The 15,362-nt window shown below is 46.3% G+C and overlaps 1 long non-coding RNA gene across 1 annotated transcript in view; it reads right to left on the minus strand.

Moving 5' to 3' along the window:
• Nucleotides 1-15,362, minus strand: part of LOC107985372 (uncharacterized) — a 32,508-nt gene continuing 17,146 nt past the window's right edge. The window contains exons 2-5 of the long non-coding RNA XR_001738568.1: nucleotides 7,485-7,581; nucleotides 3,775-3,908; nucleotides 1,075-1,300; nucleotides 1-248 (exon numbers count right to left, since the gene is read on the minus strand). This is a non-coding gene — a long non-coding RNA (uncharacterized LOC107985372). The remainder of the gene's footprint in view (nucleotides 249-1,074; nucleotides 1,301-3,774; nucleotides 3,909-7,484; nucleotides 7,582-15,362) is intronic.

The following is a 15,362-nucleotide window of genomic DNA, read 5'->3' on the forward strand; positions in this document are numbered from 1 at the left end:
TTCTCCTATATATCTCCCTGGGCCTAGACTAACGCTGAGCAATAGAAATCATGTTATCACTCAAGTTATAATGAGAAGAGGAAACTTTTTATTTTGTTAGATCTCTCTGGGGAAGTGCTATATGTGCTTGGAAGAAACATGCTGACAAGCTTACTGAGGATAAGAAGGAGGCCTCCCAGGGCATTCTCAAGCAACGAAAGACGTTTGCTGAATTATTCGCCAGAAGATCAGGAGAGTACTTTATGGAGCTTGTGAGAAAAAGGAAAAGCAAAAAGAGAATAAGAAATGAGACAGGGATGCTGTACATTGTATTAAAATGAGATGCCTGTACCCCCAAACCCTGAGTAAAATTCTATTAAAACTCAAAAAACAGCTGTCTAGGTGGATTTCTGGTGGAAACCAGTGAAGGGGCCAAGATTTCTATGGAGGGTAATGTGAGGTTTTGAGATAGATGCAAACAGGAGCCAGATGGACACGGAGGCCTTGACTAGCATTTGGATTATATTCCAATATATGATTGATCAATTGGCCAGTATGGAGAATTATCATGGAAATGCGTGTGGTGGCTCACTGACCCCAGATGTATATTTCTCCTGCCTCTTCCATCTCACTACTATCTATTTGAGGAAGTATTAAAGTGAAGGCCACATCAGACTCTGTAGGATAACAGGTAGCCACAAAGTCTTTATTCATAAAATCCACTTCAGGCTGGGTGTGGTGGCTCATGCTTGTAATCCCAGCACTCTGGGAGGCAGAAGCTGGCAAATCATGAGGTCAGGAGTTCGAGACCAGCTTGGCCAACATAGTAAAACCTAGTCTCTACTGAAAATACAAAAATTAGCCAGGTGTGGTAGCATGCGCCTGTAGTCCTAGCTACTCAGGAGGCTGAGGCAGGAAAATCGCTTGAACTCAGGAGGTGAAGGTTGCAGTGAGCCGAGACCACGCCATTGAGCTCCAGCCTGGGTGACAGAGTGAGACTCCATCTCAAAAAAACTAAAACTAAAAATAAATAAAATAAAATCCACTTCCAAAACATTCTTTTTAAACTGTGAGTGTGTTTGGTTCTTAGCTCACCTCAAGGTTAGGTAAGTTACCCACTCAGTGAGCATACATCTGGCGATTAGCTTGGGTTTCGGTGGTTGCTTCAGGTATACTCAGGGTGTAGGTGGAATTTGGCACTCGCTGGTTGAGTCATTTATAATTGTCCAAATTTGAGGAGGTATGAATTATGCCATCTCAGCTAGATTAAAAATGGAATGCACGGTCTTCTAGATGCTTTGATTTCATCAATATTATAATCCTGGAGAAAATAAACATTTCATTTATAAGACATGACAGATGCTTGGTAAGTACTCCAGATACTGTAGGTGCTCAGTTCAAGTCTGTTAATAAATGCAGACTTTGTTCATTACATTAAGTAAAAATGTAAAAGCAAGCAGGGTATGTATTAGTGTTCTCCAGAGAAACAGAACTAATAGGGAATGGATATAGGTATAGATGTTTCAGTCCATTTTTTTGTTGCTTAGAACAGAATACCTAAAACTGGGTAATTTATTTTTTTATTTGTATTTATTTATTTTTGAGACAAAGTTTTGCTCTTGTCGCCCAGGCTGGAGTGCAGTGGTGCGATCTCGGCTCACTGCAACCTCCGCCTCCTGGGTTCAAGCAATTCTCCTGCCTCAGCCTCCCAAGTAGCTGGGACTACAGGCACCCACCACCACGCCTGGCTAATCCATTCATGAAGGCAGAGTTCTCATGACCCAATCACCTCTTAAAGTCCCCACTTCTCAATACTGCCACATTGGGGGTTAAATTTCAATGTAAGTTTCAGAAGGGGACAAATATTCAAACCATAGTAATAGATGTATAAAGAGATTTTTTATAAGGAATTGGCTCACACAATTATGGAGGTCAAGAAGTCCCAAGATCTGCAGCTGGCAAGCTGGAGACTCAGGAGAGTTGTTAGTGAAGTTTTTTGTTTTTGGTTTTTGGGGGGTTTTTTTGAGACAGAGTCTCGCTCTGTCGCCCAGGCTGGAGTGCAGTGGCATGATCTCAGCTCACCGCAACCTCCGCCTCCTGAGGCTGAGATTCTCCTGCCTCAGCCTCCCAAGTAGCTGGGACTACAGGCATATGCCACCACACCCGGCTAATTTTTGTATTTTTAGTAGAGATGGGGTTTCACCATGTTGGCCAGGCTGGTCTTGAACTCATGAACTCAGGTGATCCACCCGCCTCAGCCTCTCAAAGTGCTGAGATTACAGGCATGAGCCACCATACCCAGCCAATGATGAAGATTTGATCCAATGTTTGGTAGGCTCAAGACCCAGGAAGAGCTGATGTTTTAGTCTGAGTCCAAAGGCAGGACAAACAGTCAATCAGGCAGGAGGAATTTTTTGACTCTTGGGAGGAGTAGCCTTTTGTTATATTTAGGCCTTCAGCTGATTGGATGAGGCCCACCAACATTGGGAAGGGCAATCTGCTTTATTCAGTCCACCAATTCAAATGTCAATCACATCCACAAACACCCTTACAGACACACGGAATAAGGTTTAACCAAATGTCTGGGCTCCCTGTGGCCCAGTCAAATTGACACATAAAATTAACCATCACAAGGTACAACATTGAATTCCAATTATATAAAATATAAACTCAGGCAAAATTAATATATTCTGTAACAAAGTCAGGAGAGTGTCTGCTCTGGAGAGAAAGAGAAGGGGCTTGAATGGCTTCTGGTTATTGGTAATGTCTTATTTCCTGATTTGATGTTGGTTATACAGGTATGTTCACCTTGTGAAAATTTATGGAGCTATCCACTAGGGATTTATGCCCTTTTCTCAATGTATACTATGCTTCAATTCAACATTATTTATTTGTTTGTTTGTTTGTTTATTGAGACAGAGTCTTGCTCTGTCACCCAGGCTGGAGTGCAGTGGTGCGATCTCGGCTCACTGCAACCTCCACCTCCTGAGTTCAAGTGACTCTCCTGCCTCAGCCTCCCAAGTATCTGGGATTACAGGTGTGTACTACAATGCCTGGCTAATTTTTGTAATTTTAGTAGAGATGGGTGTTAGGAACAGGCCCCCAAATCTGGCCATAAACTGGCCCCAAAACTGGGCATAAACAAAATCTCTGCAGCACTGTGACATATTCTTGATGGCCATGACGCCCATGCTGAAGGTTATGGGTTTACCGGAATGAGGGCAAGGAACACCCGGCCCACCCAGGGCAGAAAACCGCTTAAAGGCCTTCTTAAGCCACAAACAATAGCATGAGTGATCTGTGCCTTAAGGACATGCTCCTGCTGCAGATAACTAGCCAGACCCATCCCTTCGTTTCAGCCCATCCCTTTGTTTCCATTAAGGAATACTTTTAGTTAATCTATAATCTATAGAAACAATGCTTATCACTGGCTTGCTGTCAATAAATATGTGGGTAAATCTCTGTTTGGGGCTCTCAGCTCTGGAGGCTGTGAGACCCCTGATTTCCCACTCCACACCCTATATTTCTGTGTGTGTGTCTTTAATTCCTCTAGTGCCACTGGGTTAGGGTATCCACAACCAAGCTGGTCTCGGCAGACGGGTTTCTCTGTTTCCCAGGCTGGTCTCAAACTTGTGGCCTCAAGCAATCTGCCTGCCTCAGCCTCCCAAAGTGCTGGGATTACAGGCATGAGCCACCATACCCGGCAATTCAACATATTTTACTGGGGTGATGGGAGTGGGCATGTGGAATGTCTTAGGAGATAACACTGCTATAAATTCCTTCCAACAAGCTTACGTTTTCTTGGCTAGAATTGTTCAGCCTCTCAGAATCCCTGGATAGGAAGTTGGATCATGCAGCTCCTGTCTGGGTTCCATTAAGTTAAAGCTCAGTTAGTTCGAGGGGCATCTCTTTTGCCTCAAGAGAAGTTCCTGAAAGGAAGGACAACAGTGAGTTCTGGCTATGGGACCCTTATTGCCAAAAGCACAGGAGCCCAGTCCAATCACAGCAGGTGCCAAACCTATCGATCTAGGAAAAGATGACCTAGCCGAGGTCACATCATGCAAGAACCTTGCAGCCATTGGTTCCTTCCATTTTTGTTGCTGTCGTGCTTTCTCAGAGTCTCCTTCTGAACATTGTTGCTTTGAAATTTCTGGGCAGCAAGAAACTGATATAAGACCTGATTCCTCTCTGATTCTGTGGGAAAACCACAGCCCCAAAGGGAGTTTTGGTTGATTTTTTTGAAGACATGTTGCCCAAAGGACTTTTTTTCCTTCTAGTTTTTTCAAGTGCATATTCGTTGAGACCCAATCCTCTGGCACCCATTGAAGTAGAGATCCACCGATTAGGTTAGCCAAGGCAGAGAACTGATCTAAATGATTTGGGCTCCAAATTAAAATTTTGATCTGAATCCAGTGCCTTGTTAAAATTCTTCACATTGAGCTTCGCCTTTCATTTGGTAGAACGTTTATTTAGGCATTGTGTCATATGATGGGAAAAGATTGACATGGTTTAGGATTCCGGCTCAGCCACCCACTTGCTGAGTAACCATTGGTAGATGATTTAACCTCTTTGAGGCTGTTTTCTCAAACTCAGTATTGAGGGATGAATTAAAATGTGTATATGAGGCTGGGCATGGTAGCTCATGACTGTAATCTGCACTTTGGAAGGCTAAGGCGAAAGGATTTCTTGAGCCCAGGATTTCAAAACCAGCCTAGGCAACATAGTGAGACACAATCTCTACAAAAAATTACTAATAAAAAATTAGCCGGGGCCATGTGTGATGGCTCACGCCTGTAATCCCAGCACTGTGGGAGGCCGAGGTGGGCAGATCATGAAGTCAGGAGTTTGAGACCAGCCTGGCCAATATGGTGAAACCCCATCTCTACTAAAAAATACAAAAATTAGCAGACATGATGGCGCATACCTGTAATCCCAGCTACTTGGGAGGCTGAGGCAGGAGAATCGCTGGAACCTGAGAGGTGGAGGTTACAGTGAGCCGAGATCGTGCCACTGCACTTCAGCCTGGGCAACAGAGCGAGACTTTGTCTCAAAAAAAAAAAAAAAAAAAAAAAAAAAAATTAGCTGGGCGTGGTGGTGCGCACCAGTAGTCTCAGCTACTTGGGAGCGTAAGGTGGGAAGATTGCTTTAGCCCAGGAGGTTGAGGTGGCAGTGAGCTGGGTTTGCACCACGGCACTCTAGCCTGAGCGACAGAGTGAGACTATGTCTCAAAAACATAAATAAATAAATAAAAAACATACATGCAAAGTGCCTAAACCACTTTAGTTACTCAGGTAAGTAATAAACATTCATCATCATCATCATTTCAATATCCTGTGAAGTCAGTGTAGACCTGGCCTAATGCAGTCAAAGTGGTTTAACTCAAAAAGCACGTAAACGTCTTTATTCCACGGGAAGTGTGTAGCTTTACAGCCCGCAGGAGACATTTAAATAGAATCTAGACAACGTTCAGATCATCAACAGGTTTTGAATCTCCCAGATTAGAATATTTGTGATTATGTGAGCTTGACATCAATGAAATGGAATAAATAAAATGTTCATTGCTCTGTTGCCCAGGCTGGAGTGCAATGGCACAATTATAGCTCACTGCAGCCTCGACCTCTCAGTCTCAAGTGATCCTCCTACCTCAGCCTCCTGAGTATCTGGGACCACAGGCATGCACCACCATGCCCAGCTAATTTTTGTGTATTTTGTAGAGATGGGGTCTTGCTCTGTTGCCCAGGCTTGTCTCAAATTCCTGGGCTCAAGTGATCCTCCCACCTCAGCCTCCCAAAGCACAGGCATAAGCCACCACACCCAGCCATTCTAATAACTTTGGTGTATCTGGCTTGATGTTTATATTAGATTTGATTGATCTTTTTGATGGACATGAGTGGGTGGTAGAAAAGAGAGTATTTACTTGTGTTTTGATGAACTGGTGGATTTTTTTAATTTTGAAAAATATAATTCACAATAACATAATTCAAAAATATCTAATAAATGTGTTTTAGAATGGCTATTGATAGTGAAGAAATCTTATGGGTTAGGGTGTTTCACACTGATTTATTTGTATTGCTGACCTTAGAAAAATTAATTTCTGAACCAGGAGTGGTGACTCACGCCTATAATCCCAGCACTTAGGGAGTACCATGCGGGTGGATCACTTGAGGCTAGCCTGGCCAACATGGTGAAATGCTGTCTCTACTAAAAATACAAAAATTAGCTGGGTATGGTGGCGCGTGCCTGTAAGTTCAGCTACTCGGGAGGCTGAAGCAGGAGAATCGCTTGAACCTGAGAGGTGGAGGTTGCAGTGAGCCGAGATTGCGTGCCACTGCACTCCAGCCTGGGCAACAGAGCAAGACTCCATCTCAAAAAAAAAAAAGAAAAAAAAAATTAATTTCTGGCCAGGTGCAGTGGCTTACCCCTGTAATCCCAGCGCTTTTGGAGGCTGAGGCAAGAGGATTGCTTGAAGCCAAGAGTTCAAGACCAGCCTGGGCAACAAAGCGACACCTCTGTCTCCACAAAAATCTAAATAAATAAATAAATCAGCCAGCTGGGGTGGTGTGTGCCTGCAGTCCCAGCTACTCAGGAGGCTAAGGCAGGAGGATTGCTTGAGCCTGGGAGTTTGAGGTTACAGTGAGCTACGATCACAACACTGCACTCCAGCCTAGGTGACAGAGTAAGACCCAGTTTCTTAAAAAAAAAAATAATAACAGCTGGGCACGGTGGCTCACACCTGTAATCCCAACACTTTGGGAGGCCAAGGCAGGTGGATCACAAGGTCAGGAGTTCAAGACCGGCCTGGCCTACATAGTGAAACCCTGTCTCTACTAAAAATACAAAAAATTAGCCAAGCGTGGTGGCAGGCGCCTGTAATCCCAGCTACTTGGGAGGCTGAGACAGGAGAATCACTTGAACCTGGGAGGTGGAGGTTGCAGTGAGCAGAGATTGTGCCACTGCACTCCAGCCTGGGCAACAGAGCAAGACTCTGTCTCAAATAAAATAATAATAATAACAAAAGAAATTAATTTCCTTCACAGTAGTTTACCAAGTGTGACAGCAAAAGTACTGAGGTTAACAAGCATTTTGGAAATGTGATTTCTGAATAAAGTAATGAGTTTTTTTTTCTTTGCAAGTGGAGAGAAACTTCCTCTTTGTGAAATTTCATGTCAGATAAACCCAAGGTATAAGCTGAAATAAAAACAATTATGTAATCGCTCTTCTTCATCTTACCTCCTTTTTAAGGAATATAAACTATTGGTAATGTACTAGTGAGAATTCTAATGTGTGAGTCATAGCCTGTGAATCATGGTAACGCATCAGAAGGCTCTGATTGGGAGAACTGAATTATAGTCCTCTTCCTGCACTAAAATAATAACCTCCTCCCACAGGGGCTCAAAGAAAAACATGGTTTTCCAGCAATGAACTTTAACTTCTCTTCTTTATTTTTTCCTGGTTTGATTTTTATGGGAATCTGCTCTAGGATGGCTGGCTCCTCTAAGACTTACATTATTTAGAGTCGTCTTCCATACCGGGTGTAATTCTTGCGCTCACGGTCTCTCTCTCTCTCGCTCTCATCTTTCTTGTACTTATTTGCTGTTATTTCTACAAAGATAAGACAATAACAGGTAACTTGTTTTTACAGCGTACAGTTTACAAAGCACTTTCATAAATATCTCATTTGAGCTTCTTAGCAGCTTTATAGAAAAACATAAATTATTACTCATTTCTACAGATCGGGAAACCTAGGCCCAAGAGAGGTAAGTGACTTCCCAAAGTACAGTGCCTCTTGATATCAAGTCAAGTAAATCAAATCCCTCTTCAGCTTGGTGGACACCACCCCGCATGGTTATCACAGCAGGAAGATGGAGGGTGGGTGGTCAAATGCTAACACAGTGAGAGCACTAGACTTTCTTTTATGGCAAAGAGCACAGTCACTTACAGAGATGTTTGTACCATGCAGGAGACAGCATGGCTGACTCCCAGGTGGAGTTAGGAGCTGCCCAGGTCTGCAGGTCCCCAGGGAGGGATAGCTTTGGAGGACACCCAGGCAAACTGAGGATTCCAGCAGACACGAGAAGCTCACCTCAGCTGCTCTAATGGGGTGGTGGCCAGCGGGGTTAAACCTATCTATCCTGCCCCCCAAAACACACCCTCCTCAGCTGCCTATCCTGGGACAGGACACACCCTCTTGGCTCCCCACCCACAAGTTACTAGCATGAAACAAACCCAGCGAACTCAATTCAAGGAAAGGGAAAGCTCGTTTTCTAGGCATAGGGTCCTGCAGTGGGGCCGGGCTTCCAGCCTGGTTGTGCTTCAGGGCTGCACACTCACACAAAATGTCTCATGGAGTAGATGACTCGTTCACTCAAGAACCAGCCATCGATGGCCTGTGGTTACAGAATGGAAGACACAGTGAAGCAGGGGAATTATAAATGGGGTGCTCAATGTAAACCAGATTGTTTGTTTTGCCCCTCTCCCCTCTCTCTCATCTGTCTTTCTTGTCCTTTATGCCCCAATGGCACCTGTGGGGTCCCTTCCCCAAGCAAAGCTGCTGGCACCTACACACAGAGAGCATGACGCTCATAGAGGCTCTCCAGGAGGACCGAAGTGCCCACAGAAGCACCAGTCAGTGTAGCCTGAGGCTGCCCAGGCCCAGAACCTCCACCCCTCTGTTCTCAGCCACCCAGAGTCATACCCTTAACCTCATCATTATCCAGACCTACAGCGCCTACACCCGCTCTCCAACCACTCCTGACCATGTCCTCTATCTGTCCAGCTTACTCCCTCGGCCCCCCAATTCCAGCAATCCTGTGAGCCACCAAGACCTACAGTCCTGCCCTATAGAGACCTCACCACCTTCTCACTGTCCCCCAGCCCCCACGTCCTCCCCTCCCTCCTGATCCAATCATGACGGTCATTCATCTGCTTATACCCTCCGACTTCTTCACCTCTTTCTCGCTTTGAGGTTCTCTCTGATGAAATCACACCCCTGGTTAAATGGAACTCTCCAGCCGCTCTGGGCCTGCATCGCCCCATGGCTGGAGAACAAACTCAGTCAGCCTCTGTTCACCCTTTGCATTGCTGACAAAATCCAGTGGGCCCTGACTGATGCTCCACAAACGTATCACACTTCTCTCGTCTCCTCTCTCCCACTCTCCCAGGTGATGATTTCATACCTTCTCCTCTCTCTCTACACCTTCAACACCTCCTCCCCCTCCTCCCTCTCAGCAACTTTGCTTCCTATGCCACCAAGAACATCGCAGCCACCAGAAAAGAGCTCCTACGTGCTCTCACCAGCGCGCCCACCCACCCCCCGTGTCTGTGTCTGAGCACTCAGCCTTCTCCCCGCGGCGTGGGTGAGCTGCCCTGCCCCCACCTGCCCCTCCGTGGGATGGGATCCCAGCCCCTGCGGCCCACTCGCGGACATCTCTCCTGCCGCTCTGTCTTCTCTCTCCTGCACCTCCGCATTTTCCTTCTCGATTGAATTAATCCCATCAGCTCATAAACATACTGTATTTCTCCCATCTTAAGAAGAAAAGAAAAAACAGCTCTCTTCACTTCACTTCCCCCTCCAGCTTCCACTCCACTTCTCTACCTTCTTTCACAACAAAACTCCTTGAAAGAATGGAGGACACTCTTCTTCTCTCTGCCTCTGATTTCTCTCCTCCGGTCCTCACTCGAATTCACCACAGCTGGACTTTTGCCCCCACCATGCCACTAAATCAGTGTTCAGGTCACTGGTGAATTCCATGGTCACCTGTCGGCCCTCTTCTTGCTTGACCCGTTGGTGACATGACATGCAACTGACGCTGTCTCCTCCTTGAACCGCCTTCTTCTCTCGGTTTCCAGGATGCTGCCCACTCCTGGTTCTCCTCCTGCCTTTCTAGACACCGTCTCTCAAGCACTTTTGTTGGTTTTGTTGGTGGTGGTGGTGGTGGTTTTGAGACAAGATCTTGCCTTGTCACCCAGGATGGAGAGCAGTGGCCCAATCAAAGCTCACTGCAGCCTTGACCTCCCAGGCTAAAGTGATCCTCCCACTTCGGCCTCCCGAGTAGCTGGGACCACAGGTGCCCACCACCACACCTGGCTAATTTTTAAATGTTTAATAGAGATGAGGTCTCGATATGTTGCCCAAGCTGGCCTCAAGCCATCCCCCCACCTCAGCCTCCTAAAGTGCTAGGATTACAGGCGTGAGCTGCCGCGCCCGGCCTTGTTGGTTCTTTTTCCTATCCTTGACTAAAGTGCTGGGATTACAAGTGTGAGCCGCCGCGCCTGGCCTTGTTGGTTTTTTTCCTATCCTCCTATCCTTGACTAAAGTGCTGGGATTACAGGCATGAGCCGCCGCGCCCGGCCTTGTTTGTCTTTTTCCTATCCTTGACCTCTAACTGTCAGTGTGCTCCAGGGCTCAATCCTCGGACGTTCTCTTGCATACCTATACTCAATGCTGAGGAAATCTCAGCTTGTCTTATGGCTTTAAATACTGCATATCTGATAGGTGTAGATGGATATGATGGATATAACGATGATTCTCTAATTTTTTTTGGAGATGGAGTCTCACTCTGTCGCCCAAGCTGGAGTGCAGTGGCATGATCTCAGCTCACTGCAACCTCCGCCTCCCAGGTTCAAGTGATTCTCCTGCCTCAGCCTGCCAAGTGGCCCAAGTAGCTGGGATTACAGGCACCTGCCACCATGCCCGGCTAATTTTTGTATTTTTGTAGAGATGGGGTTTCACCATGTTGGCCAGGCTGGTCTCGAACTCCTGACCTCAAGTGATTTGCCTGCCTCGACCTCCCAAAGTGCTGGGATTACAGGCATGAGCCACTGCTCCCAGCCTGATTCTCTAATTTTTATCATCAGGAAGACCCTTTCCCCTGAGCTCCACACCCACCTACCCACTGCCATTAGACGATGGGCATCTCCAGCCTCACAGAGCTCCCAGTTCTCCACTCAGCCAGCCTTTTGGCAGTCTCCCCATTTCAGTTCAAGGCAACTTTATTCTTCTAGTTGCTCAGACCAAAGACATTCCTCAGTTTGCATTCTCTCACCCCACACAGCCAGCTCATTAGGAAGTCTTGTTGGCAATACCTTCAAAATACATCCAAACCCAATTCCTTTCCATCTCCCCCACTGCCACCATCATTCCTCACCTGGGTTACTTCAGTAGTGTCCTAACAGGCCCCACGGCTCTGTCTTCACCCCGTTGCAACCTACTCTCAGCAGTTTTCAGAAAGATCTGATTCAATTCTGTCACTCCCCTCCTTAAAAGCCTTCTCTAAATGCATTTTCAGTTAGAGAAAAGCTGTAGACCTTAGCGTGGGCCTGCAGCCCCTAGCTGACTCTGCCTCTTATCTCTCCGCGCTCTTCCCTGCTGACCCCCATCCCCTGTGCTGCAGCCACACTGACCCCCTTGAGCACACGCCAGGCTTTAGGGCTGGTCCTTTCCACTCTGTCTGCCTGGGCTGCTCTGACCCCAGACAGGCTGCTCTAAAAAGGCTCACCCTTCTCCAGCTTTTCCTACTCACCCTGCCTGCTATTTTTTTCTCCTTAGCACTACTGCCATCAAACATACTATATGTGGCTGGGTGCAATGGCTCACACTTGTAATCCTAGCACTTTGGGAGGCCAAGACACAGATCACTTCAGGTCAGGAGTTCAAGACCGGCCTAGCCAACATGGTGAAATCCCGTCTCTACTAAAAATACAAAAATTAGCCAGGCATGGTGGCAGGTGCCTGTAATCCCAACTATTTGGGAGGCTGAGGCAAGAGAATCACTTGAACCTGGGAGGTGGAGGTTGCAGTGAGCCGAGATCATGCCATTGCACTCCAGCCTGGGCAACAGAGCAAGATTTTGCCTCTAAATAAATAAACAAGTAAATAACATATGCTGTACTTACTAACCTTGTTAATTGTCTGTCCCCCCTCTAAAATGCCATTGGGAGTGGGGGTTTTTTCTGTTTGGGTCACTGCCATGTCCCGATGTCCACGGGCGTTCACGGCAGCCACGTGGCGAGTGCTCACAAATGTGTGCAGTTTCGTGGACAGGAAGGTCTAGGCTGAAGCAAGTGGGATGATCCCACAGCCTGACTATCTTAGTAGTCACCCATGAGGATGGTTTTCAGAGCCCTCACCCTCATGTACCGCAGAGAAACGACTGCAGCCTGGCCCCTCTCTGACTTCCCCTCCTTCAAGCCACCGCAGAAACAGCAAGGCCGTGAAGAGCGTAACGAGAGAGCCAGCAGGGCCCGGGCTGACCTCAGCCTCTGACACTTCGGATTTTCATGCTGGGAAAAACATTTCATCTCTCTAAACCTCAGTTTGGTTTTTTTTTTTTTTTTTTTTTTTGAGACCTAGCCCACTCTGTTGTCCAGGCTGGAGCACGGTGGAGTGATCTTGGCTCACTGCAACCTCCACCTCCCGGGTTCAAGCTATTCTCCTGCCTCAGCCTTTCAAGTAGCTGGGATTACAGGCGTGTGCCACCACACCCGGCTAATTTTTGTATTTTTAGTAGAGATGTGGTTTCACCTTGTTGGCGGGGCTGGTCTCAAACTCCTGACCTCAAGTGATCCACCCGCCTCAGCCTTCCAAAGTGCTGGGATTACAGGTGTGAGCCGCCGTGCCTGGCCTAAACCTCAGTTTCTTAACCAGTAAAATGAGAATAATGCTACCTACTTCATAGGACTACTGAAGGGTGAAATGAAACAGTGTGTGTAAAGTACTTAGTACAGTGGCTGACACAGAGCAGGCACTTGGAGAATGGAGATTATTTTTATTAGTAGTAAGAAAAGTTATAGGAAGGTGGGTGTGGGGGCTCACACCTGTAATCCCAGCTGCTCCTAAGGCCGACGTTGGAGGATCGCTTCGGCCCAGGAGTTTGAGACCAGCCTGGACCACATAACTATCCCCCAACTCTGAAAATCGATTAAAAATTAGCTGGAGAGGGTGACACATGCCTGTAGTCCCAGCCACCGGAGAAGCTGAGGCAGGAAAATGGCTTGAGTTCAGGAGTTTGAGGCTGCAGTGAGCTATAATCACCCCAGTGCACTCCAGGCTGGATGACAGAGTAAGACCTCATCTCTTCAAAAAAGGAAAAAAAGAAAAAAGTTACAGCAGCTGTAGGTTCTTGGCTCTTGACTTGGGAAGAATTTCACTGATAATTTTTTTTAAGTTGATATTTTGTATTTTCATTATTTTACCTTTGTTAGTATTATTCACAACAAAGCAGTGTCGAGAACAATGATCACATTTCTCCTCTTCTATAACTTATTGGTTGTCCTGGAGTTTAATTTTTAGGCTTCTCCTTTTCTTTTTTTTTTTTCATTTTTGAAATTGAGATATGTTTAGATTAAACGCAGAGATCTTAAATGTTACAGTTTGACGTGTTTTGAAAAATATGTACATGGCTGAAACTCATATTTCTAAAAAAAAATGAGTGTTTCCAATATACCATTAAGTTCACTGGGGCCCCCTTACAGTCAAATCTTATACACCACAACCCCTCAGATGATCAAGGTTCAGATTTCTTTGAACATAAATTAGTTTTGCCCATTTAGAGATTCATCTAGCTGTGTAAGTCTTCTTTCATTGAGAAAAAGATTTTAAATTCCTCCACATTCGTGGCTATATCAATCGTTGGAAACTTTTAATTATTGCCTAGTATTGTTTTATTATTATACTTGAAGTTCTAGGGTACATGTGCACAACGTGCAGGTTTGTTACATATGTATACATGTGCCATGTTGTTGTGCTGCACCCATTAACTCGTCATTTACATTAGGTATATCTCCTAATGCTATCCCTCCCCCCTCCCCCCACCCCACAACAGGCCCCGGTGTGTGATGTCCCCCTTCATTCACTGATGATTTAAAAACAGCTTGTTTATGATTGCAAGGACCCAAATGGTTGCTCGCTGTCTCCATAGAAGCTGACGGGAAGAAATGTGCTTGAGCTACAACAGGCAGTGGCCAAGTCAACCTACGGAAGTCTTGTCTGATCATAAGAGGTTGAAGCCACAGAAGCAGGCTTATCCAAAGAAGCTGTGACAGCTCATCAGGACAGATCCTTAAAGAGTGGCATACCCTAGGCTGGGTGTGGTGGCTCAGGCCTGTAATCCCAGCACTTTGGGAGGCTGAGGCGGGCAGATCGCCTGAGGTCAGGAGTTCAAGACCAGCCAGGCCAGCCGTCTCTACTAAAAATACAAAAATTAGCCGAGCATGGTGGCGCATGCCTGTAATCCCAGCTACTTGGGAGGCTGAGGCAGGAGAATCGCTGGAACCCAGGAGGTGGAGGTTGCAGTGAGCCAAGATCATGCCACTGCACTCCAGCCTGGATGACAGAGCGAGACTCTGTCTCAAAAAAAAAAAAAAGACTGGTGTATCCTGGTGTGTCTAGTCATAGAGTCCCTGCAGCTTTCTGGGTGAGAAGTCTGTGATGGAAACAGCATGGAAGCCTCAAACTCCATGGATAAATGGGGCAGCTGACCAGACAGCTGTGAACTAACAGGTCTACACTGCAAATGCAAAATATTGCAGGCCCCATACTCCACTTGTTAATACTCCTCTCTGCCCTTTAAATATATATATATATTTGAAGTCTTCCGCTTCTCAGCTTGCTTCCATCCCCCTCCTCAGTGCTTGTTGATGGGATTCAAGCACTCACCCCTGAAAACTGCAGGCCCTGCTCTTCTGATGCCTGGTGAAAGAATCTTAAAGATGAGAAGGAGGGACGTACGCTCTCTTTTCCTGAAGCTAGAAAAAGTAGATGCTCTTCTGCATCATCAACCACCTGTCTTAGTTTGCTTTCTGTTGCGGTGACAGAATACCACAGACTGGGTAATTTACAAAAGAAAAACAGAGGCCGGGTGCTGTGGCTCATGCCTGGAATCCCAGCACTTTGGGAGGGCAAGGTGGGAGGATCGCTTGAGCTCAGGAGTTTGAGACTAACCTGGGCAACATGAAAAACCCCCTCTCTACAAAAAATACAAAAACTAGCCGGGCCTGTGGCTGTCAGCCCTGGCTGGATATTAGAATCACCTGGTGGTGATGAGTTAGCTCAGTAATTAGTGAGTAAAGTCACCTAGGAAGTTTGGTCTGGGCTCAGCATGGATAGAATTCAATGAGAATTTCTGGGGATGGGGCCCAGGCACCAGTGTTTTAGTAAAGATGCCCAGATGATTCCAATGTACCACTAAGGCCGAGAACCACTGGAATAGCCCGGATTATTCTAATGTACCACTAAGGCCGAGAACCACTGGTATAGCCCAGATGATTCCAATGTACCACTAAGGCCGAGAACCACTGGTATAGCCCAACTAACATATATCCAAGTTATTGCTGCAGAGTTTTACTGCTTCATTTCTCAGGAAAACCCTGACAGATGAAAGAAG

The sequence above is a fragment of the Homo sapiens genome, chromosome 1, assembly GCF_000001405.40.
Source record: "Homo sapiens chromosome 1, GRCh38.p14 Primary Assembly".
NCBI lineage: Eukaryota > Metazoa > Chordata > Mammalia > Primates > Hominidae > Homo > Homo sapiens.